Below are 23,661 nucleotides of genomic sequence, written 5' to 3' on the forward strand. Positions count from 1 at the left end.
ATGGGAGCTAAAACTTTTGCATAGTGCAGCTGGTTTTCCAAGCGCTAGGCTACAAGACCAGAACTTGGCAGACATCTGAGCAACATAATTATTTTGGAGAGTTTCCTATAGGAGAAGCTGTGTTATTTAAATGTTTTCCAGTTACAGAAATGGGCCATCGTAGACACTGTTTCTCTGTGTGAATACAGGGACAGCAAACATTTGGGAGCTCTCAGCCTGATTTCTGATTTCCTTTGACTTTAAAAAATGTGTGTGGCTTTTAGTTACTTTCTAAGCATTATTTCAACATGACTTTATTGTGGTTTCATAAAATGGGCTATATTATATTTGGCTCAAGGAATACATTACTTTCAGAGGCCAGTTTTCAGATGCTCATTTAAACAATGAGTTAGCAGCCTGCATGTCTTCAAGGATGCTTAAGTGACTCCTGATGCCACAGGATGTAGAACACAGCCTTGCTGAAAGGGTCAATAAACAGATCCCCAGGAAGAGCCTTCTCACGCCTCGTGAGCACTTCACGAGTTCTCTCTTATTTCAAACTTCAGAGCTATTTTATGGGGTTGGTCAAAATCCATCAAGAGTTTTATTACACTCTAACTGTGGTTCCTACTCTAGGTGATAAATAATTTAAAAGGCAGGATAAAGGGTGTTCACCAGACGTACGCCGGACATCGAGCAGTTTATCATCTAGCTGTGGAGGTTTAACATGTACTAAGCTGGTGCTAATGCAGAATCCCAAGAGGAAATAAAGAGCGCAGGGAAAAAATAAACCCTCAGATCATTCCATTCTGTGGGGGCAGCTCTTTCAGGGGTCCCGTGGCCCCGCGTGGGGCCACTGAAGCCTCCCTGCCAGCATTTTTATTTCATGTCTATTTTAATTAGCTTTTATGTTTAAGAAACACTTTATTTTTGGAGGAAAGTATTTTTTAGGTTCATCTGTCTAAAGGTCGCTTTGAAAGCATAAATCTTGCTGAGTCAAAAGTTTACTGGGGCTGGGCATGGTGGCTCACGCCTGTAATCCCAGCATTTTGGGAGGCCGAGGTGGGTAGATCACTTGAGGCCAAGAGTTTGAGACTAGCCTGGTCAACACAGTGAAACCCCGTCTCTACTAAAAATACAAAAATTAGCCGGGCGTGGTGGCGGGTGCCTGTAATCCCAGCTACTTGGGAGGCTGAGGCATGAGAACTGCTTGAACCCGGGAGGCAGAGCTTGCAGTGAGCTGAGATCGCACCACTGCACTCCAGCCTGGGCAACAGAACAAGACTCTGTCTCAAAAAAAAAAAAAAAGTTTACTGGTTTAACAAATAGTTTTCTTGGTGAGACTTCTATAGGACTCTCACTTCAGATCATTCCAGGAAGCTTATAAAAATAAACATTTTGCTCACTAATTAATTTATATCCTCCTAATTTGAAAGCAATTTTACATAAAATTGAAATCTGGCAATGAAGGAGGAATAGCATGTCTGTTGTGTGACTGATGAGGACAGCCCCCAGCCTGTGAGAAGTGTCTGCACTCAGAGCTGCTGTCTCCTGCAAAGACTTCTGCCGTGAAAGTTTTCAACCCAGTATGTGATTCAGTGGTTCTAATGCAGGTGTCCTCATTCCTGGGAGTCATTTATCAGCTGCATTCGGTTAAGGATGAGTGGCATGGTGCTCGGCACAGGTGGTCACACCAGCTCATCATGCCAGCACAGTGCACTAAGAACAACATAGACAGACTCTAATGTCTCAGAGCCTGCTTCTTAGGATGGGTCTTCCCATCAGGAGCCATATAGTACAATGTGAACACTTGCAATCAGCCTTCTCCTAAATGTATGCACTTTATTTCCTGATAATATGTGTTGGTTGTAGATGCCAGTGTTGAGGTCAGTGACATGATTAGCTGATCACATGCTTAATAATGTTGTTTTGGATAGGCTTCTATATTTAAACATGTACCAGACAGTAGAGCTAGAAACCTCTGTAGTTATTTCAGGCACACGGGGACTCCCCACGAAGGAGTACACACTCACAACATTGTTGGAAGGACAGAAAGTGATAGCGGTCAAAGCTGCTGCTGGGCTACTGCAGACAAAGGTATCTCTCTGTCACTGTGATCCTGAGATCAGGAATTGGCTCACCTTGCTGTGACTGCTGCGTGAGAACTGCTTGCTGCTCACCCTAAAGAGAGCTGGTGGCCGAGGCTGGTGTTGCAGCTGCCCCTGAGGGCACACATGCCTGGCCCTGGCCATCAGTGGGGAATATGCCTCCTGCCTCCCTCCTCCCGCCTCCCTCCTCCCGCCTCCCTCCTCCCACCTCCCTCCTGCCCGCATCCCTCCTCCCTCCTCCCCCCTCCCCACCTCCCTCTTCCCTCCTCTTTCCTCCCTCCTCCCTCCTGCTTTCCTCCCTCCTCCCGCCTCCCTCACTCATTCCAAGTCCTCTCTGTGCATCCACTCAAGTCAACTCAATCCAGACGTAGATGTGAGGGACACGAGGAAATGGAGTTTGTTTATTTTTTCACTTTTTTGATCTTTCTAACTGAGGTAGTTGGACCAGAGGGTCTAACACTGAGTAGTTTGAAAGCCAGCATGTTGGGAATAAAAACAATAGCATATTAACCATGTCTGAAAAAGAAAGTGTGAATGAAAACCATGCAGTGTGAAGCTGGGTGTGGTCCATTAACAAACCCAGATGACGCCTGTGTGCCAGGGTGGCCGCGGCCTTCTTGGGAGCAGGACTGTGTTTGTGGGGAAGGTCATCACTGTTTCTGCAGTTTCCTGGACCTGGAAGTGAGTTGTGGCGTCCACAGGACAGCTGAAGTCCTGCATGCTCATCACCTTATTGTGACAGCAGCAAGGAGGTTGTTTCATTTAATGGAATATGCTTTTCTACTCCTTGCGTCTTCTTACCCAATTCTATCACAATACTTTTAAGAAACAAATGCTGCCCAGTTTTGTGGGTGTCGACTTGCTAGAGGATCCTGGAGAAGCATACAGCTGAGCTGCCGAATGTTTGCGTTTTCCTTTGCGAGGAACATTTCTGTTGCCGGCCTCCACCAGGCTTGTAACATTTCATAGAGTCCACTGATTCATCTAATTCCTAAGTTACGTATAATTTGTGAAAGACCATGACATTTACCTCCATTTAAAAACTGCTTCTTCCAAACAAAACTGCAAAACCAGTGCCTGAGACCTTGAGAGGAGAGAAGGATTCCTGTCTGTTTGTGCTGCTTGCAATTCAGGAGCAGCCTCTTCCTCCCCTTCCCTACGGGGAAGGGGAAGCTGGGCCTACGGAGGCCTCAGGTGTCAATGTGTTTCCCAGGGCGTGCTGTATGCTGAGCTGGAGCTGGATGCTGAGCTGGAGCTGGATGCTGAGCGGGAGCCAGGCGTGCCCCTGCCCCGCCCCTGCCCCACCCTGCAGCGCCCAGGGAAGGATTCCCTCTCCCTGCACATCTGCGCACTCCCTGGCCAGTCCCTGCCCTGCCCCTGCCCCACCCTGCCCTGCCCCTGCCCTGCCCAGGAAGCATTTCCTCTCCCTGCACACCCACACACTCGCTGGCCAGCCCCTGCCCTGGCACAGTTCATGGGACACCGTTCAGCTGATTGGGCCACAGACTTTAGTCCCCAGATAAATAATGCTCTCTTTAAATAATGTTGTTATTGTTATTATTATGTCCAAAAATAGAAAGCGTAAAGACAGACTCTTTTGACTTTGGTTTTCACCACTAAGAACCTACTTCACACCATGAGAACCTGAGTCAACTCCATTTTGTTAGGTTGGGAACATAACTTTAAGAGCAAGTGTCATTAAGTTAGACACTAAGCAAACATGTCTTCCTTCATGTTTCTCGTGACGGGGTAGGAAAGCAGCCCTGTTTTACTGTTATCTTTAGTTCTACTTGGTGGGAGGTGGGTTTTAGCCGCAGAGCTGCTGGAAGCGGGGTCTGGAGGGAATGCTTTCAGCGAGAGGGTGGGCAGAGCACACAGGGCTCCCGCTCAGAGAGGAGCTCAGCTGGGGAGGAGGAGGAGGCTGGGAAGGCCCATCAGGAGGGACAGCCGGAATTCCCGCGGAGTGGAGTCTTGCTCCCAGCCCTTCCTAACTGAAAAGACTGCGAAGGTGCCCCGGGCTGGGGGCCTGGGGTGGGCGGCTGACAGGTGTAGGGCCTGGAAATCCAGTGGAGTCTCCAGCACAGGAGCAACTGTGGAATCAGAAGCGCTGTGCTCCTGCTCCTCGTTCCATTTGAGATTCAAGCCAGGAAAAGAATTCATAGTTAGACAGAGGGCTGAGCTGACGTAAGGAAGAAACAAATGCACTTTTAAAAGGAGAAAATCTCCAGTGCCCAGCTGCTCCGTCCGTAGTGCATGAGCCCCGAGAGGAGAAAATGATTCCTGCCTGTTTGTGTCATATGCATTTATTGTGTGTAGACCTGGCTTCGTTACAAATCTAGATGGAAAAAAGCAAATTTAAAACAAACAGACCATAGGATTCCACAGGCTTGGTTCCGACATCCTAGCAATGTTTCAGAGGCTGAAATTGTCAGCACTGAGCGTCCTTTGTTCAGATGCAGCCATACTCTGGCGTCTCAGTCATTGAATCGTCATTGGAGCCCCCCGTTTTGGCTCTGGGTGGCATGTGTAGATGTAAAGAAAATCCTTGCTTAAAGTTACTTCCAAAATGTAGCCAGACCTTCTGTTTCTGTAGGACCCGACCTTCTGTTGCTCAGATTCTGCCAAGACTACTACTGCAAACTTGTTTTCATTCCATAGTTTACGAAAAAGAAAAATCAATGAGGGAAATGCTTTTTAAAAAGTTTTAATTGAAATATGACCGTTGTACATGTTTTTGAGGCATGTGCTATTTTGATACCTGAGTAGGATAGGGTATCTGGGATAACCGTCAACTCCAATATTTGTCTTTCCGTTGTGTTGGGAACATTCCAGATCTTTTGTAGCTGTTTTGAAATATACAGTAAATTATTTTTAACTATAATTTTTCTATTGTACTTTTGAATATTAGAACTTATTCCTTTTATCTAACCGTAGCTTAAGTCAATCTTTTCATTGAAAATGAGGAACTGTTCTTAAATGAAGACATTCTGGCAAATACTTGGAATGCGTTCGATTCCATCATCAGGTGGACCAGAGTCCGCCAGGCAGGTACCTGGGATGTCAGCATAGGAAAGCGTTTCTCAGACTCGCTGCTACTTGCATCCCTCATTTCAGAACAAACTCAATCATAAGATTACAGAGACGGCAGAATGGCCCAGTTGCCGGTCCTGTTTGAATCCCTGGTGTGACCCCGGGATGCTAGAATGGGGCCAGCCACAGCCTCCTGAGAGGGAGCCCTCGGTTCATGTGCAGATCTCTGAGGAGCTACGGGTGTGGGCTTTCTCTGCCATCACCTTTGCCTGCTTTGCTTTGGGGGCATAGATATGCTTTTGTGTTTGGGTTTCTGAGGAGGTCATTACTCCATGTATTTGGGTAGTTGAAGCCTCTGGGCGACTCACTGCTCCCTCCTGATGGATCACTGGTCAGCCCTGGTCAGCCCTCCAGTCTTTGTTCCCTCCAGGTCCTCGTGGATATCAGCACACGGTCTTGGTGTTGGTGTTGGTGTTGGTGTTGGTGTTGTATTGTGCTTGTGTTGCGGTTGTGTTGTGGTAGTCGCTGTGTGGTTGCCAACTCAGAAGGATTGGCCGCTCTATTTCCATGGTAGGGTTCATTGGTGGTGACTGTCAGCCTGACTGTCAGCTGGATAAGGGAAGGGGAAGCATGGAGAGGAAGCATGGGGCAGGCTGCGGCGGGGGGCTGCTGCATTCCCGGGGGCTGCTGCAGACGCTGAGGGGCCCAGGCAGCCAGGCACCAACCCCAGAGCTCACACTAGACTAACCCCTCTGCAGTGGTAGCGTTGCTGATTGGCCCTTGAGGAGACAATGCAACATCACAGTGTGCTCAGAAAACACTTGCTCTAAATATTTTGAGTTTAGTAAAATGTAACCTCACTTGAAATCAATCAAGGACATTGGAGCTACGAAATATTTACTAGTACGGAAGCTTATTTCTTAACAATACATGAATTTTTAGAGGTTTATGGTTTAAAAACATAGAGAGTCTATCTTGTTGTTAAGACTGACTCCTTAAGTTTTTCATAAAAGATACAAAAGAGGGAATGTTGTAGAAAAAAACTATTAGAAGTAAAAACAGATTAGGAGTCTGGAAAGAAAAGTTTCTCTTTTGACTTGAAAGCATTTCCTAAACTACATATGCGGGGAAAGAAAGAGACAAAAACGCTAGCCTGAGCCTGAACATCTGGACACCTTCAGTGCTTCCTGGCAGCTGGCTTTGCATATTTGGTGTCCTCATGAGGCTAGAGCAACCTGCCAGGGCCAGTTGTTTGGACAGTAAACAGTTAAAAGTCATTCCTAAGAACGACTTAGTTCTCCTTAAGAATTTCATTGTCCGTTGGAAATGTTCCAAACTTTTTTTTTCAGGAGAAAATTCAGGCAGAAATAGTTGTTTTGTCATGCCGAGTAACACTGAGAGTGAGAATACAGTCTTGCAAATCAGGAAGGCTTTGACACCAGAAATAATCCTAATGTTTGGCAAAATACTGATTGCACAGAACACCTCCTTAAAACATGAGTGTGCCCTGAAATGCTCGCTCCTCCCCGGATGGCAGAGGACATCAGCCTGATCTCCCCTCAAATGCTAGATCCCTCCTCAAGCCTGCGAAACCTGAAGAAATCCCACACACTCTACAGCACTGACGTCAACCTTACCTGTATCACCATAAACCCTCCGTGTCTCTTCACCAATACCTTCATTCAAAAGCTCCTTGAGGGCAAAATTGGTGCTTTTTACCAAGCATTTTGTTAATAAGTAGTTTTTAAAAATGGTTGAATGACATAACGTTGTCCTTGAGAAATGTAGGAAGACTTTAGAAACACACACGTTGGTCTTTAAGATACATATTCAGAGTTAACTTATTAGCTGTGATAAATTCCAAGTGCACACCCTGGCCTTGGATGACCTGACCCAAAAGAGAGTTAAAGTCAAAGGCAAAGAATTTCTGGAATGTTATGGTCAGAGGAACCTTGGGGAGTTTACGGCAGCACTCAGTTTAATGGATGAGCCGAGGCAGGGCCAAGAGCAGGCACCTTCACCCAAAGCCTTGGCTTTCCCGGCCACATCTTCACTGGAGGAACTTCCTAATTCTTTTCAGGCACTGACTTCTAACCAAGTGCCCACTTCTATCAGTGTATTAGTTATCAGTGTTAATTCATCAAAGCACTATCTAAAGCCTATGGACCTCTTTGTCTAGAATAATGAAAAGATATAGTGAAAAATCAAGGATATGAAAATAAATATAGAAAATATGTGAATATAGAAAATATAGAAAAGTAGAGTTAATGCACAAAAGTAGTAATTTTCTTTTCAGCTGAAGATTGTGAAGTTTTATGCTTTTTCTTTAGTGTCTTTTTTAAAGTATGAATTGTCATGAGCAAATTTCATTGGATAAAAGAAAAACTTCAGCTGAATTAAATTTGAAAGAGTTTAATTGAGCAGTGAACGATTCCTGAATAAGGCAACCGCCCAAGCCGGAGTGGGCTCAGAGACTCCAGCACAGCCACAGGGTAGAAGAAGATTTACGGACAGAAAAAAGGAAAGTGATGGACAGAAAACAGAAGTGAGGCACAGAACCAGCCGGATTGGCTACAGCTCGGCGTCAGCCTCATTTGAACATGGTTTGAACAGTTGGCTACGTTGGATTGGCCAAAACTCGGTGACTGGCACAAGTGTAGGCTACGGTCTGTTGACGTCTCCACTTGCTACAGTTCACAACGTACACAGAAACCTTTAGGCTGAACTTAAATATATAAGGAGGCAGCTTCAGGCTAAGCTTGATTCCACACAACTGATGTACTGTTAACCATCACTGGCCAGGACTTCTTTCTCTACTGCGTGGTGGTTAAAGCGCGTACCTGTCGTGAGGAAACTGCATCTGTCTTGAATCGTCCAAAAGAGGCGCTTGATGTTGTCAGTGTTCCCCATATCAGGGGCCCTGCAGGTCTAAGGCCAGGCCCTTGAGGATGACGCGCTGACCAGGTCTCAGTTTGGAGGGGGGTTTATCAAAATAGACTTTGTATACCTTTTATAAGCTGCAGGCACTTTATGAATCTCAAAATCAAAGTGCCTGAAGAAACTTTCCTAACACGATACTTTTTTTTCTTATGTTTAAACTGCATGGAAAGTTAAAAGTTGGAAAGCCAAGTGTTACATGTAATGACAGGCGTCAAATGCTTAATGGAGCAAGTGGGGTACTTGGGAAACATCTCGCACCCCTTTCTGTGGCTGTAGAACTAGATGGTGGAAGTTGAATTAAATCCCAAGAATGGGCTTGGGGAATGGCATCAAAGCTGTGTTCCACATGTCCATCTCTGTGTACTTGTTATGTTCCAGAGGCTCTATTTGGCCCTGGTTATAACCAAACCTTCAAAGCCCTAGGCCCTCTAACTCCATGGTTTCTTCTGAACGTATTTCACAGGCTCTCCAGGGTCCCCGTTCCAAACTTCGCCTCACAGCCCCTTCCCTGGACCACACAGCAAACTCAAGCAGGGCTCCTGGGTCCTCCCACAGCTGGCTGGGACCCACAGAGGGAGCACTGTCACACTTTAAAACAGAAACAAGATTGTGTCACTTCTCAGATTCTCCCAACAGCTTCCAGTTTCCTTTCAGATAAGGTCCACACTTGTTTCTGGACTCATAAGACCTCCTGGGTTTTGGGCCCCTGTCAGTTCCTCAACTTTGTTCCCTAGGACCATCCTTCCTGCCCCACTCGACACACCCTGGTATCCTCAGGGCCTCAGGAATGCCACACTGCCTGGGACGCAGGGTCTTCGTGGGCCTTCCCTGTGCCCCCAGCACTCTCCTCCCTGTTCCAAATGGCTCACTCCACACCACTGCACCTCTGCCTGGCAAGCAGAGGTGAACGTGACACCAGTGCCCACCCTGCCAGGACAGGCGTGGTGGTGGGCAGGGGCCTTGTCTGCTGTTCCCGGCCTCATCATGGCCGTGGGGCAGCGGGGAGAGCTCCAGGTGAGCTCGGCACAAAATCACCTGGACGTAGGATGCACTCCTGCCTCTACCCCCCAGCAAGGTCAGAGTTCTCAGCACCATCCAAGCCTTCAGTCTCCCACTGAGTGTGACTTGGGCCTCAGTTTCTCCCTCAGACACTGATGTGCTGATTAGTTTCACCAGGCAGTCACGAGGCCACAGTGTGGTGCTGAGTGTCAGCTGCATGAGGGTGACATGCACACGGCCCCACGCGTAGATCAGACAGGAATGCTGTAGTCCTGCCTCTGTGAACCCCGTCACACATGTGACACTCCCTGGACCACACAGCTGGGACATGCTCTTTGAAGAGTGCTGGAGGAAAATCTGCGCTTGGAATAAAACAAAGAAGCACAGCATTTAATAAATGAGCATTTACTATGTAGAAGGAGTGGTCTGTTTCGGCTGGGGATGGAGCATTGAGATTGCGGTGCTTTTTAACTCTGGCAATGTCAGGATTTAAAGCGGAGTTTTCAAATTCAGCAAATGTTGGTAATCCAAAGCTGCCAAGTGTGAGAGCACACGTGTTTATGGACATGGCTTCGGGACCCCTCCGCCCTGGGAATTTCCCCTTTGTTTCTCTGATGCCTTTTCTTCAGCGGGGCTGCCACTCAGAGGCTCAACATCTTCCCTGCTTTTCTGTACCAGGTCGGTGTGTTTTAAACTGTGAGAATGAGTAGCCATGACATTTTATTTCTAGCTGTTTGTGAAAAGACCCAGCCAAATGCAGGTGCTGTTATTGGCACCCTCTTTCTCCCTCCCCAGCCAGATGAAAAGAGCTTTTTCTACCAGAAGACAGATGCCCCTTATTTGGTGTGCACACAATGGAACCTTCATCACAAGTCACCAGTGATGTTCAGGGTCAGGGAGAAACTACCTGGTACCCAGAGCTCTTTCCAGGCACCCAGCTATGCACAAAGAGAGGACCAATCAAATGTTGGGTCAATGTGAATGCCTTTCTTTTTTTTTTTTTTTTTTTTTTTGAGACAGAGTCTCGCTCTGTCTCCCAGGCTGGAGTGCAGTGGTACGATCGCAGCTCACTGCAACCTCCACCTCCCAGGTTCAAGTGATTCTCACACCTCAGCCTCCCAAGTAGCTGAGATTATAGGCATGTACCACCATGGCTGGCTAATTTTTGTAGTTTTAGTAGATATGGGGTTTCACTCTGTTGGCCAGACTGGTCTCAAACTCCTGACCTCAAGTGATCCACCCACCTCAGCCTCCCAAAGTGCTGGGATTACAGGCGTGAGCCACCAGACCCACAAGTGAATGCCTACTTACAAGTAAAGATAATTTAGAAAGAAAATTATAAACTATTTGCTTTTATATAGTTTGAAATAGTTTATAATCAATAAAGGAACTTAAAATCCTGGTTCCTAACATTCATCATAGAGTTAGTAAATGTAAAATTTTGTTAGTGTCAAGACAAAACTGGATTTAATCGCAAAGGAGAAATTCTCAGCGCCTTTCTTACAGATTTCTGGAGAAGGAGAGAAGGAGTCACAAAAACATCTTAGTAACATTATTTCCATTTCTCTCAACCCTTAGAAGCAATAAAAAGTCTCATTTTCTGTCCGTTTTTAACTCTGCAGTTAAAAATGTATTTCTTTTACCTTGGGGAAATGGCACAAAACTAGAGCACACTCAAACTTTTCTATGATACATTCTTAAAATGGGGAGGAAGTGAGCCTAAAACCCACGGGGAAGGGCCACTCAGACAGAGAAACCTCTGCCTTATTCCAGTGAAACTGGAGTTAGCGAGTTAGCACGGGACAGAGACTCCTCAGTTCACCTGAGTTCCTCTCCTCGGGCCTTTTCTCCCCTCAGGGCACCACACAGGCTTTGAGAATGCTCAGTTCCCGCCTTAAAATTCTGACCAAATCTTCAAAAATCCAACCCTGTGGGCTTTCTCCCAACCCACATGTGACAGCCCGGGCACAAGAGTGGAGATAGCATTTGACTGCCACCTCCACGAAGTGACCCCAAGGTGCCCAGCAGGTGTTCTCAGCAGACACGGCACATGTTCCTGGCCCAAACCGAGAGAAGCGGTTTCCCCCCAGGTCACCACGCAGGCCCCCAATGGGAGACGAGGACAGTCTTTTCTCAGGTGGCTGACCTGTCCCCCTCACATCAGGCCAGCAAAGGCATTCCCGGGGTCCCTGGCTGGCGAATTGGAGCACAGGCTGATTGCTTGACAGAAATGATTGGACTTCCAAGCCAGAGGAGCTAAAACTGTGAGTGGATACATAGACAATGATGATGGCGTGAATACCTGCGTGCACACACCACTCCTCAGAAGCATCTGAACAACTTAGAGAAGAAAGCTCCTTTGTCATCCATTCTTTTCTCCTCATTTCTCATCTATACCAGTTTCCTAAACATTGGAACTAAACATGAAACTAAGAGAACTGATTTTTAAGCCACTGCTAGATACTTAAAACCAGAGGAATGCGTCTCATTATCCCCAGACACTTCATGCCTGATGAGCTAATAATGTTACTTGCGTGTGAAATCTCTGGCCCCCGTCCGTACACCTGCTTCCCTCGTGTTCCCGATCCAGACCCTGCAGGCCTCACTGGCACAATCCAGACCCACGATTGTGCCAGTGTGTGGCTGCTGTTATCCAGTGGTCTCTTCTCTTGATCGGTGAGTGAGGAAACCACTCAGCTCCACTTTCTCCTGTGTTTGAGTTCCTTCAGGGGCAGTACTGGGTGTTCCAGGTTACGGGAAGGAAGCGAAAGTTAATTCGTGTCCAGACAGGAGGCGACTGAGGGAGCAGCTGGGAACTTGTATCCATTTGTATTTAAAAGACAAAGAGAAAAGAAGAAACTACATAAACTTACTGAAACAGGAATTTTTATACAAAAATGGTTTTTGTTTCTTAAAATAAGGACGTTTCATAGAAAGCACAGAACACATTCATTTTAAACGAGTGAAAGTCAAAAATGCTTTTAAAGCATCAGAATATTAACCCAGTTTCTGAAAAGTCCCTGGTCCATAGGCTGGGGTCTCAGGGACCCGCCAGTTCAGCCACTTTGTTGACTGGATGAGCTCTGGGGTTGAGAAGGGCTCAGGGCTTTGTAAGGTGCAGCACCTTTACTGTGGGGCAAAACCAGGATAGAACCCGGTGTTTCCACAGAAACCTCACAGATGTCAAGGACTTGGATTCTGCAGATCAGCTGGAGCACCTGAGGATACTTGGGCTAAGCTACTCCCTTCATTGTTTTGCCACAGATTGGATATAAATTGGTGAACTTATTCTGTTTCTAGCTTTGAAAAGAACAGTCTGGTTTTCTTTCTTGAATTGGCTTATTATTCCCCCCAGGAGCCTGGGCATAGGACACTGCCACATGGTGTGGACTTTGAGAGGGCCTGGCACGTCTAACCCAGGTGGGAGTGTGTATGGGGTAGCACCTTCGTGCTATGCCTCTGTTGACCTGAGACTTCTGAACTCAGTTCAATGGGTGGTTGGAGAACTTACTGTGAGTGGAACTGTCCCAAAATAAAGGGTGACTGGGTACATCGCTGAGCCTGCATGCGGCAGTTTTGACGCCAACCCTTCCATGACGCAGTATTTACAGGGGCCGTTAGACCCCACCGTGCAGGCGGCTAAGTGAGAAGAAGGCCGGGGGCGGAGTGTGCTAGAAAGGACCCACCAGAGCACCAGGCTCCTCATACAGGTTCTCAGCGGGCAGCTTCCCCAGCCTGAATCACACACCACAAAATGCCAGAGCAAAGGGTGGCTTTGCTATCAAGATGGGCCAGAGGAGTTACAGCAAGGGTTGGCAGGGGGCCAGCGCCCCTGCGAGGGACGAGGGTCTCTGCAGCCATCACCGTGCCGGACACAGCTGTCATGGGAGAAGCGGAATAGCTCCCTGTGGGCAACAGTGGGGAAATCCCAGCTGTTCTGGGGTCGTTTCTCTTTTACCTCAAGCCTCGTTGCTCCTCTCATGCGTTTGCTAGATCTGGGACATCTCAGGGTGATGAAATTTTCACTTCATGGTACTTCTGTGATTTCTCATGCAGTGAACATTCACTTTAACATAATGAAAGTTAGTTTTTTTCTTCTGATTGCTTGTAATCTTTCATTTTTGTTCGCCTTTTTTCTTCAGAAGTAGTTTTGAAGTACAGTCGTCCGTCATCAGTAACAAGCATTATTCCAGGTCCTGGGGTGACTGTGACATGGGACTGAGCAGGATTGATTTGCTGCTTCTTGTTTTAGAAGTACATAATGCTTTTTATGTTCAGTTTTTCTTTTTGCACTAAAGACTCCTGCAGCTTTTATATTATGTTAGTCATGTTTCGTGATGAACATCTATTATTTTCTCATTTGAAATATTGTGTTGCTTTATCTCATTTGGGGGAATATGATTAAATTAACAGCCAAAAAAAATCCCCCTGGGTGTGTCCCTATTACCACACCAAATATCCACATAATTCTTTCTTAAAGCTGTTCAGTACTGAGGATTATCTAAAACGCCTTTTCTCCCAGATAATAATATTCTTCTCCATCAAATCCATATTCCTCTCAGAATCTCTGGAGGCCAGTGGAGGACTGGAAATTCATAGAGAGCAGCCCTGGCAGGCAGGTGCCCGAGGTCCTGTGGGTCCCAGCCTCACCTGCCCCGGCGCCTGTCTCGTCGCCCTGGACAAGTTCTCCTGGACGGCTGGCCTGGCAGGGCTTCTGCCCACGTGTTCCCGAGCCTGTGCCCTGGAGGCATTTTCAGCCCTCCAAGTTGTTTTTCTCATTTCCCTTCCTGGTTAGTCCTGCAGCTGGGGAGCTCAGCCTTCTGTAGACCGGGAGGCCCCTCCCAGGGAGCCGAGGCCGGGTGGGCTGGGCAGCTTTGGAAGCACCGCGGCCAGCAGCCTCTGCAGCCTCAGGTCCTCTGCCTTTCTGAGGGGATGTTCGATGAGACTGTTACTTCTTTCTTGGAAAGTAGCATTTGCCCCGTGGCCGTGATGCTTTTTGCTATAGATTTTGATCTCCTTTTTCAGTTGTGTGCAAAGAGACTAACACAGACCTTTTTGCACTCTCAGAACCCCCCTGGTGAAGGCTGCACATCTGTTTTCTGACATGTGTGTTTAATGAAGTGGAAGCCAGCATGACTGTGGAGTCTTGCTATCGGCAGCTCACGTGTGCTTCAAGAGCAATCACACAAAACTCCAGTGTCAAAAAGAAACCTAGGAAAACCAGGGCGTCCCTAACTGCATAAACAGGCTGGTCTCCGAACGACTTGGCTGCTGTCCACACCACGGCCACATGGTCCACGCCAACGTGCCCTTGACCCAGGGGTGGTCCACGCCAACGTGCCCTCGACCCAGGGGTCTGAGAATCACGTGTGGCACTGCCTTTCCCCACGGCACCCTCAGCCTGTCCTGTTGCCTGAGGAGTCCAGAGAGAGCCCTCCTCATCTCAGACAATCCTTCCTCTGAGGGCCACGGGGAAGGCGGGGAAGGGGCCGTCCTCAGTCCCACTCGGCTTTCTGCCTGGGCTCTGCAGCTCTCCGCGTCCTCCACTTACTGAGTGGGCTCCTGAGATTCCCTTTGGCGGGGCCGTCTAAAACTTTTCTTAGTAAAAAATGGAATCTAAATTGGGCAGAAGGTGTGTGGTGTAAACTCCCTTCCTGCTGTGGTGAGGACGGTCCGAGCAGATGTTCTAATGCCCGAGGTGCTCTCCAGGCTCAGAAGTCTCCGTGGGTGTCCCTAGCCCCAGCAGAGCCCCAGGGAGAGGCAGCCTCCCCAGCAGGGAGTCTGAGAGTGCAGCGTGGCTCAGTGGGGACGCTGTCCCTCCAGGGCTGGTGCCTGGCTTCTGTCTTCTATTTTCCCCTCGGTATCTTTCTCTTTCTACTGAACTCTGGAAGGGCTTTCTTTATAAAAATTTAACAAAATGTAAATGGTAACAAGCTCCGTTTGTCACCTCTCCCCTGGATATTTACACACAAATAGACCCAGTTGGAATCGGCAAATTTTGCTCCCTGCTTGTGAAGCTCTTAAACCCGCCGATCTCATCGGGGAAACGAGGGTGGGGCTCCTACCTCTTGCATTTGCTTATTGATCCAGCAAGCATGTATTGGGCAGCTGAGCTGCTTCTCTATGCCAAAAGGGCATCCAGAGAGAGGAGACCTATGTTGTCCATTGTCCATGCCACCCTGGGCATAAGGACACGGGATGCTGCCTGTGTCCAGCTACTGGGGCAGTAGCACCGGGAACGGTCTCAGGAGAAAAGACCCCAGAGAAAGTGGATGGCTTCTTTCAAATGTTATCTTGAATTTGGGGTGGGACGAGTGTCTCAGGCATGGTGTCAGGGAATTCCTAACCGGTGGGAGAGGAGAGTGGTGTTGAGGGAAGGATGGAGGGGAAAGTCACGCTGCAGAATGTTGGGTGCCTGAATTATTCCCTGACCCCAGAATCCATACACAGTCCGCGCTGGGCTCCAAAGCTATGAGCACTAAACCCTGCTGTGGACTGTTCGTGCCAATGCCGTGGTGTGGACAAGTCCCCAGGAGACGGGCGTTGGGGAGCTCCTGCTGTTTGCCCTACTGCCTCCTTTTGCTCTGAGAAGCGAGGTGGCTCTGGACAGGGTGGGGGTGGCGGTGAATCACAGGCCCTGGCCTCGATTGCTGGGATGGCCAGCCTCATGTGCTCTCAGCGTGCACTCCGTATGTCCCGTGTCCCTAAGCACCCGGTGCCTCTGCTGCCACACTCGCTGGATGAGTGACACTGCCCACCTCCGATTGCAGTTCTGAAGATCAGTGAGATACTAATGCCTGTGAATTTTAGTCTCACGTAATAATTCAAACAATAGAGGAATTAATAATAGCTATGGCTCAAAATCAATATATATAATGCAATGTGTTTGTGTTTAAACTAGCTCATTAAGATTAAGGTAGGCCAAAATACTCATTTCCAAACAGTAAAACAACATTTCCCTGTATTTTAGAGGAAAATCTGTTAGGCTTTATGAGTTAATTATGAAAACATACACGTGTTTTTCAGGTTGTCCGGGTGCCAAAAAGCATGAGTTTCTGACCAGCGTTCTGGACGCGCTGTCCACGGACATGGTCCACGCCGCCTCCGACCCCTCCTCCTCGTCAGGCAGGTACGCTGTGTTCGCCGTGGGACAACAAGTTGGCAGGGTCCCAGAATTCTGGGGAATCTGGAAAGTCTGAACATTACATATTGGCAACCTTCTCAGCTTATTTGGACACAGTAGGGCCTTAAAAAGGAGCCTTCTGCAAACACAGGAAGTTGCTTAGCAGGTTTTCTTGTAGCAAGACTAAATCACTGAAAACACTCCCATAGGGGTACATGGCCCTGAGCCGTGACTCCTGGGCCTCTGCGGGGTAGTGGGCTCTGACCCTGGCCCTTTTGGTGCGGAGCAGGGCAGGGGGAGCACTTCCTGCAGAGGGCTTTGTGCTTTGAAATTGCACTTTAGAGTCATCGATTGGATTGTAAATACTTTGAATGACAACGTTTAATCTGAAGTTCTCAAAACGTGATTAGGTTTACTGCAGTAAAATGTACAGCACATACATTTGCTGTCCTAACCACTTTCAGGCATGTGATTCAGTTACATCAAAGACATTCACACTGTTCAAAATAGGATTTTTGGAACCCTGGAGATGTTCCTTGAGTACCTGGTAGGCATTCCCGCACTCCTGGACCTGGGGCCTGGAGCTCGGTGGAGTGGCTTTCGGTGAATTCTCCAACACTCCTCTTTTCCACCCTCTGTAGATCAGCCTCAGGAGAGCAGAAGAACCCCAGGGTTTTACTGCGATGGCATCTCAAGCATCAGATATTCCCCCTGATCTAGCCATAGTTTATCTGTTTCTTTCAAATAAAGTTTTGATGGAGATTTCATCTTTTTTCTTTCTTTAGAATGTTGGCCTTTCTCCCCATAGCCCCTGACACCCAAACCCTTGATTATCTCAGCCACTTTAGGTGATTTTTTTGGTCTCCTGAACTAAAAGCCTCTCCTCTCACTGTCTGTCTGCTAAAGAAGACTTAAGGAAATAAAAAGGCAATACTAACAGAAAATGTCATGAATGTGTAGGAAATTAAATTTAATAGAGCAGGCCGGGCGCAGGGGCTCACGCCTGTAATCCCAACACTTTGGCAGGCCAAGGCAGGTGGATCACCTGAGGTCAGGAGTTCGAGACCAGCCTGGCCAACGTGGTGAAAACCCATCCCTACTAAAAATACAAAACTTAATCCAGCATGGTGGCAGGCACCTGTAATCCCAGCTACTCGGGAGGCTAAGGCAGGAGAATCACTTGAACCTGGGAGGCGGAGATTGCAGTGAGCCAAGACCACACCATTGCACTTCAGCCAGGACAACAAGAGCAAAACTCTGTCTCAAAAAAAAAAAAAAAAAATTTTAATAGAGTCAAACTGTATGTAAATTTCAACTTTACATCTTCTATTCTTGGAAAGATTGTTTTCGCAAACTAAGCTAAACTGCAAACTAAAAATGAAGGCAGTAAATGAATTGCTAACTAAACTAAATTGCAAACTAAACTAAATGCAAACTAAAATTGATGGCAGTAAATGGATTGTTATCTGAAAATCCTCCGAAAGGTTGAGAAATTGGCAATGGTGTCGGAGTTCACGGTGTTCTCATACCTGGGAATGTACAGCTCATCCCAACAGGCAGAATCCAGGGGCCAGCACCTCCAGGAGGGCCATCCCATGCGCACACACACACCCTCCATCTCACGGAGAAGGTGCGTGTCTGCCATTTGGTGCACTTTTAAAGATCCGCACCTTCTAGAAGAGTTTATTTATGTATGCCCTAAAATATTGAACCTAACATAATCCAAGGAAAAATATCTAGTCCCAACTTAAAATGTTTTTGATTTGCATCATCTGATATTCCTATGACATGAAGGATGTGTAAAAGAATCACATTTACAGGGCTAGAAAAGCTCAGGGTTCTGGTGTGTCGGGCGGGTATAGCTGCATGTGCTGACCTGCCAGTCCTGTGCACACAGAAGCCAGGATAAGGGGGCTTTTGTCCTTCAAGTGCATCTTTGCTGGGCACAAATTCACTGCATCATTTACAATTTTGAATCCAACCTGAAAAATCTTTGCTAAAAATGTTCTTCTAAATTATTTCTTTAAATTGTTATATCTGATGACCAGTGCTGCAGGCTGAGACACCAGGACCATGAGAACTACAAGCAGGGGTTATGGGTTTGAGGGAAGGACAGTGGCCAGGAAGGAGCAGCCCAGGGGTTTAAGCATCCTGACGGCATCTGTGTTCCTTCCAGGCTCTCAGAACCCGACCCCAGCCATACCCTAGAGGAGCGGGTGGTGCACTGGTACTTCAAACTACTGGATAAAAACTCCAGTGGAGACATCGGCAAAAAGGAAATCAAACCCTTCAAGAGGTTCCTTCGCAAAAAATCAAAGCCCAAAAAATGTGTGAAGAAGTTTGTTGAATACTGTGACGTGAATAATGACAAATCCATCTCCGTACAAGAACTGATGGGCTGCCTGGGCGTGGCGAAAGAGGACGGCAAAGCGGACACCAAGAAACGCCACAGTAAGAGCTTTCCCACCCCCGACCCTGGGCAGTGGTCAGGCCCTGAGGCCTGGGAGGTCTGCTTCTCACAAACACAATTACAGATTGTGTTTATGGCCTGGGAGTGCAAAAAATCAAATATGCTGTTTAATTGTTGGGCGTCTGTTTGCAGAAATAATAATGATAATTGGCGACTCATCACATGCCACTTGCCCAGGAGAGCCCAGGCTCAAAGGGCATGAACTGCGTGTTGGTTTGCAATGAGCCTTTTTACTGTTCAGACCACGGTTGGCTTCCCCCAGAATGGATTGTCTTCTGGTATTTGAGGTGCAAACCTGGGAACCACTGGAATAACCAACCCTGCACCTGAGCTCCAACCAAATGTTAGGAACTCACCAACCCTGCTCCTGAGCTCCAACCAAATGTTAGGAACTCACCAACCCTCTACCTGAGCTCCAACCAAATGTTAGGAACTCACCAACCCTCTACCTGAGCTCCAACCAAATGTTAGGAACTCACCACCCCTGTACCTGAGCTCCAACCAAATGTTAGGAACTCACCAACCCTGTACCTGAGCTCCAACCAGATGTTAGGAACTCACCACCCCTGTACCTGAGCTCCAACCAGATGTTAGGAACTCACCAACCCTGCACCTGAGCTCCAACCAGATGTTAGGAACTCACCAACCCTGCACCTGAGCTCCAACCAGATGTTAGGAACTCACCAACCCTGCACCTGAGCTCCAACCAGATGTTAGGAACTCACCAACCCTGCACCTGAGCTCCAACCAGATGTTAGGAACTCACCAACCCTGCACCTGAGCTCCAACCAGATGTTAGGAACTCACCAACCCTGCTCCTGAGCTCCAACCAAATGTTAGGAACTCACCAACCCTGTACCTGAGCTCCAACCAAATGTTAGGAACTCACCAACCCTGTACCTGAGCTCCAACCAGATGTTAGGAACTCACCAACCCTGCACCTGAGCTCCAACCAGATGTTAGGAACTCACCAACCCTGCACCTGAGCTCCAACCAGATGTTAGGAACTCACCAACCCTGCTCCTGAGCTCCAACCAAATGTTAGGAACTCACCAACCCTCTACCTGAGCTCCAACCAAATGTTAGGAACTCACCAACCCTCTACCTGAGCTCCAACCAAATGTTAGGAACTCACCAACCCTCTACCTGAGCTCCAACCAAATGTTAGGAACTCACCACCCCTGTACCTGAGCTCCAACCAAATGTTAGGAACTCACCACCCCTGTACCTGAGCTCCAACCAAATGTTAGGAACTCACCACCCCTGTACCTGAGCTCCAACCAGATGTTAGGAACTCACCAACCCTGCACCTGAGCTCCAACCAGATGTTAGGAACTCACCAACCCTGCACCTGAGCTCCAACCAGATGTTAGGAACTCACCAACCCTGCACCTGAGCTCCAACCAGATGTTAGGAACTCACCAACCCTGCACCTGAGCTCCAACCAGATGTTAGGAACTCACCAACCCTGCACCTGAGCTCCAACCAGATGTTAGGAACTCACCAACCCTGCACCTGAGCTCCAACCAGATGTTAGGAACTCACCAACCCTGCACCTGAGCTCCAACCAGATGTTAGGAACTCACCAACCCTGCACCTGAGCTCCAACCAGATGTTAGGAACTCACCAACCCTGCACCTGAGCTCCAACCAGATGTTAGGAACTCACCAACCCTGCACCTGAGCTCCAACCAGATGTTAGGAACTCACCAACCCTGCACCTGAGCTCCAACCAGATGTTAGGAACTCACCAACCCTGCACCTGAGCTCCAACCAGATGTTAGGAACTCACCAACCCTGCACCTGAGCTCCAACCAGATGTTAGGAACTCACCAACCCTGCACCTGAGCTCCAACCAGATGTTAGGAACTCACCAACCCTGCACCTGAGCTCCAACCAGATGTTAGGAACTCACCAACCCTGCACCTGAGCTCCAACCAGATGTTAGGAACTCACCAACCCTGCACCTGAGCTCCAACCAGATGTTAGGAACTCACCAACCCTGCACCTGAGCTCCAACTAAACGTTAGGCCAGTTCACAAGCCGTAAAATCATTGCTGTGGCCCAGACCAGTTATTCCAATGGTTATAGCAGTTTTAACAATTGAAAATACTTTTTTTTGTGGGCCTGGCCTACCCAACCGTGACAGGAAGTAAGAGAAACCTGTGATGGCCAGAGCCCAGATGTTCTTAGGAGGCAAGCCAGGAGAAGCCGGGTCTGACTTTTCAGCTCAGAGACAGCACTGTGAGATGCGTGCATGCCCTGATCCCACTGCACATGCGTGCTAGATACTCCTGCATGTGTGTGCTGGATCCTACTGCATGTGTGTACTAGATACCCGGCACATGTGTGCCAGATCCCCCTGCACATGTGTGCTGGATCCCCTCACACGTGTGTGCTAGATCCCCCTGCACGTGTGTACTAGATTTCCCTCACACATGTGTGCTAGATCCCTTGCACATGTATCCTGGATCCCCTCACACATGTGTGCTAGATTCCCCTGCATGTGTGTGCTAAATCCCACTGCACATGTGTGCCAGATTCCCCTTCATGTATGTGCTGGATCTCCCTGCCCACTTGTGCTAGATCTCACTGCACGTATGTGCTCGATCCCTTGCATGTGTGAGCTAGATCCCCCATATGTGTGTGCTAGATCCCACTGTACACATGTACTGGATCCCACTGCGCGTGTGTGCTGGATCCCCCGTATGTGTGTGCTAGATCCCACTGTACACGTGTACTGGATCCCACTGCACATGTGTGCTGGATCTCATTCCACATGTGCATTAGCTCTCACTGTCCTTGGGGATCTGTTTCCTGATTTGTGTAATACTTGCTGGGTAGGGCTAGTAGACACCGCTCAAATCTCTGTCGTTTATGACTCTTTTATTTGTTGTCAACTCGATAACAAATGTGGAAGAGAAAACAAGCTTGAGACTGTGTTGTGGAGGGCTGATTCACCGTGGTCTTTAAAATCCTCCTGGCAAGTCACGGTGGCTCACACCTGTAATCCCAGCACTTTGGGAGGCTGAAGCGGGTGGATCACCTGCGGTCAGAAGTTCAAAGTCAGCCTGGCCAGCATAGTGAAACCTCATCTCTACTAAAAATATAAAAATTAGCTAGGCATGATGGCTCATGCCTGTAGTCCCAGCTACTCCAGAGGCTGAGGCACAATTGCTTGAATCTGGGAGGCAGAAGTTGCAGTGAGCTGAGATCGTGCCACTGCACTCCAGCCTGGGTGACAAAGCAAGACTTTGTGTTAAAAAAAAAAAAAAAAAAAAAAAGAAAAGAAAAGAAAAAGAGAAAAGGAAAAAAAAAAAACCCTCCCATGTTTGAAGCTCAGCTGTGAGACAGGGGCCCTTTGATCTGACCTGGACTGAGGGCTCCTGGAGGAGGCAGTGATCATCGTCTGCCTCCTCTTCTCAGTGTCCTAGTGCTTGTCTTGATAGTCACTCAGTGCTGTTCAACCAAATTAGGGCAAGCCTAGATCTGTGTCATGGCGACGCACTTCCTGCTAATTTCTCTGTGAAAAGTCAGCTCTGAAAAATTAAGCTTTAGTTTGAAGCTTTTTGTATAGGGTCTTTGTGGTTAATGCACGTCCTGCCGTCCTGATGATGTCTTCACGGGAGAGCAGATGGCTGTACCTATGGCCGCCTCCCTTCGCTCTGTATGCAGGAGGCTGCCCCCTGTGCTGGCCCGGCCATCCGATGAGGTCAGAGAGAATCCTCAGTTATGTTCAATGTTCTGTCTCCATCAAGGACTCTTTGGCAAGTGTGGGAGGAGCTGGCCTCTAATAAGACAAAAAAGAAAAGAAATCACTCTGGGCTGATCAACTGCAATGCATGAAGGCAGCAAATGCCCACTCACCACTGTGGGAAGAGGGGCACTAAATGTGCTGCCAAGGTCTGGCAAGGCTCATGATCCAATATCCAATCCTACTTCATGGCTCAAGACCTCATTTCATTTTCACAGCCATCCTGAGGGGGACGAGGTCACAGACAGATGCTGCCATCCCTGACACTTGCAGACAAGGACACACAGGCACTGCAGTCATCAGCACTTTGATCTGAGTCTTCCTCAGCAGTGCTGCATGCAGCAAGGGCAGTGCTGTTGGAAATCGTCCACTCTGCTGGGCTACACTTGCTGTTAGGGCTCCTTCGCCCACACCAGCATACACCTGCAACCCTCCAGGCATTTGGATGGAAAACCAAGGATGCCTATTCTCAGTAGTTGCCCATGTGTGATTTCCCCCTTGCTTTTCCCTTTCTCTGTATTCAGCACCTGCCCACTGGGTTTCCTGAGCACTTCTCTCTTACTGCCACCCGATACTGCTTTTGGCTTCTTGGACTGGGACTGTGTCTTAGTCCATTTTGTGCTGCTATAACAGAACACCATGGATGGGATACCTTATGAACACAAACGTATTAGCTTATGGGTCTAGAGGCTGGGCAGTCCAAGATTGTGGAATCAGCATCTGGTGAGGGCCTTTGTGCTGTGTCATCCCCAAATAGAAGGGCGAAGAGAGGGTGAGAAAGAGAGAGAGAGCAAGGGGGGCCAAACACATTCTTTCCTAGGAGCCCACTCCCAATATAATGGCATTCACCTATTCGTGAGGGCAGAGTCCTCATGATGCAGACCTCTTAAACCTCCCAACGCCTCTGTATTAGGGATTGAGTTTCCAGCACATGAACTTTGGGCTCACCTTCAGACCATAACAGGCTGCTTTCTTCACTTCCTGTGCTTTTTCTCTTATTTTGGTCCCTGCTCAGGATCCCAGAAGACAAATGGTGTTTTGCTCTTTGAGACTTAAAACCTACAAGCAGGGTCCACATGGGAGGCCTGGGGGACTGATGGGGAGATGGAGAGCAGGTGGCTGCCAGATCTGCAGCTGGGGCCAGGGAACCATGGTGTCCCTCACCCCTGATGGTTCCACAGAGAGGGAAGATGAACACCCACCCAGTGATTCATGAAGGGAGCTGCTCACATTCTGCTGTTGCCCCATCTGCATGTGAT

General features: G+C 48.1%; 1 protein-coding gene across 4 annotated transcripts in view; it reads left to right on the top strand.

The window, feature by feature from the left end:
* Positions 1–23,661, top strand: part of SMOC2 (SPARC related modular calcium binding 2) — a 226,809-nt gene that overhangs the window by 193,415 nt on the left and 9,733 nt on the right. For all 4 annotated transcript variants that reach the window (NM_022138.3, XM_011536066.2, NM_001166412.2 and 1 more), the window contains exons 10-11: positions 16,083–16,185; positions 18,356–18,630. In NM_022138.3, coding sequence (NP_071421.1) covers positions 16,083–16,185; positions 18,356–18,630 — 378 coding nt within the window. The remainder of the gene's footprint in view (positions 1–16,082; positions 16,186–18,355; positions 18,631–23,661) is intronic.

Source organism: Homo sapiens, chromosome 6 (assembly GCF_000001405.40).
Source record: "Homo sapiens chromosome 6, GRCh38.p14 Primary Assembly".
NCBI classification, from domain to species: Eukaryota; Metazoa; Chordata; class Mammalia; order Primates; family Hominidae; genus Homo; species Homo sapiens.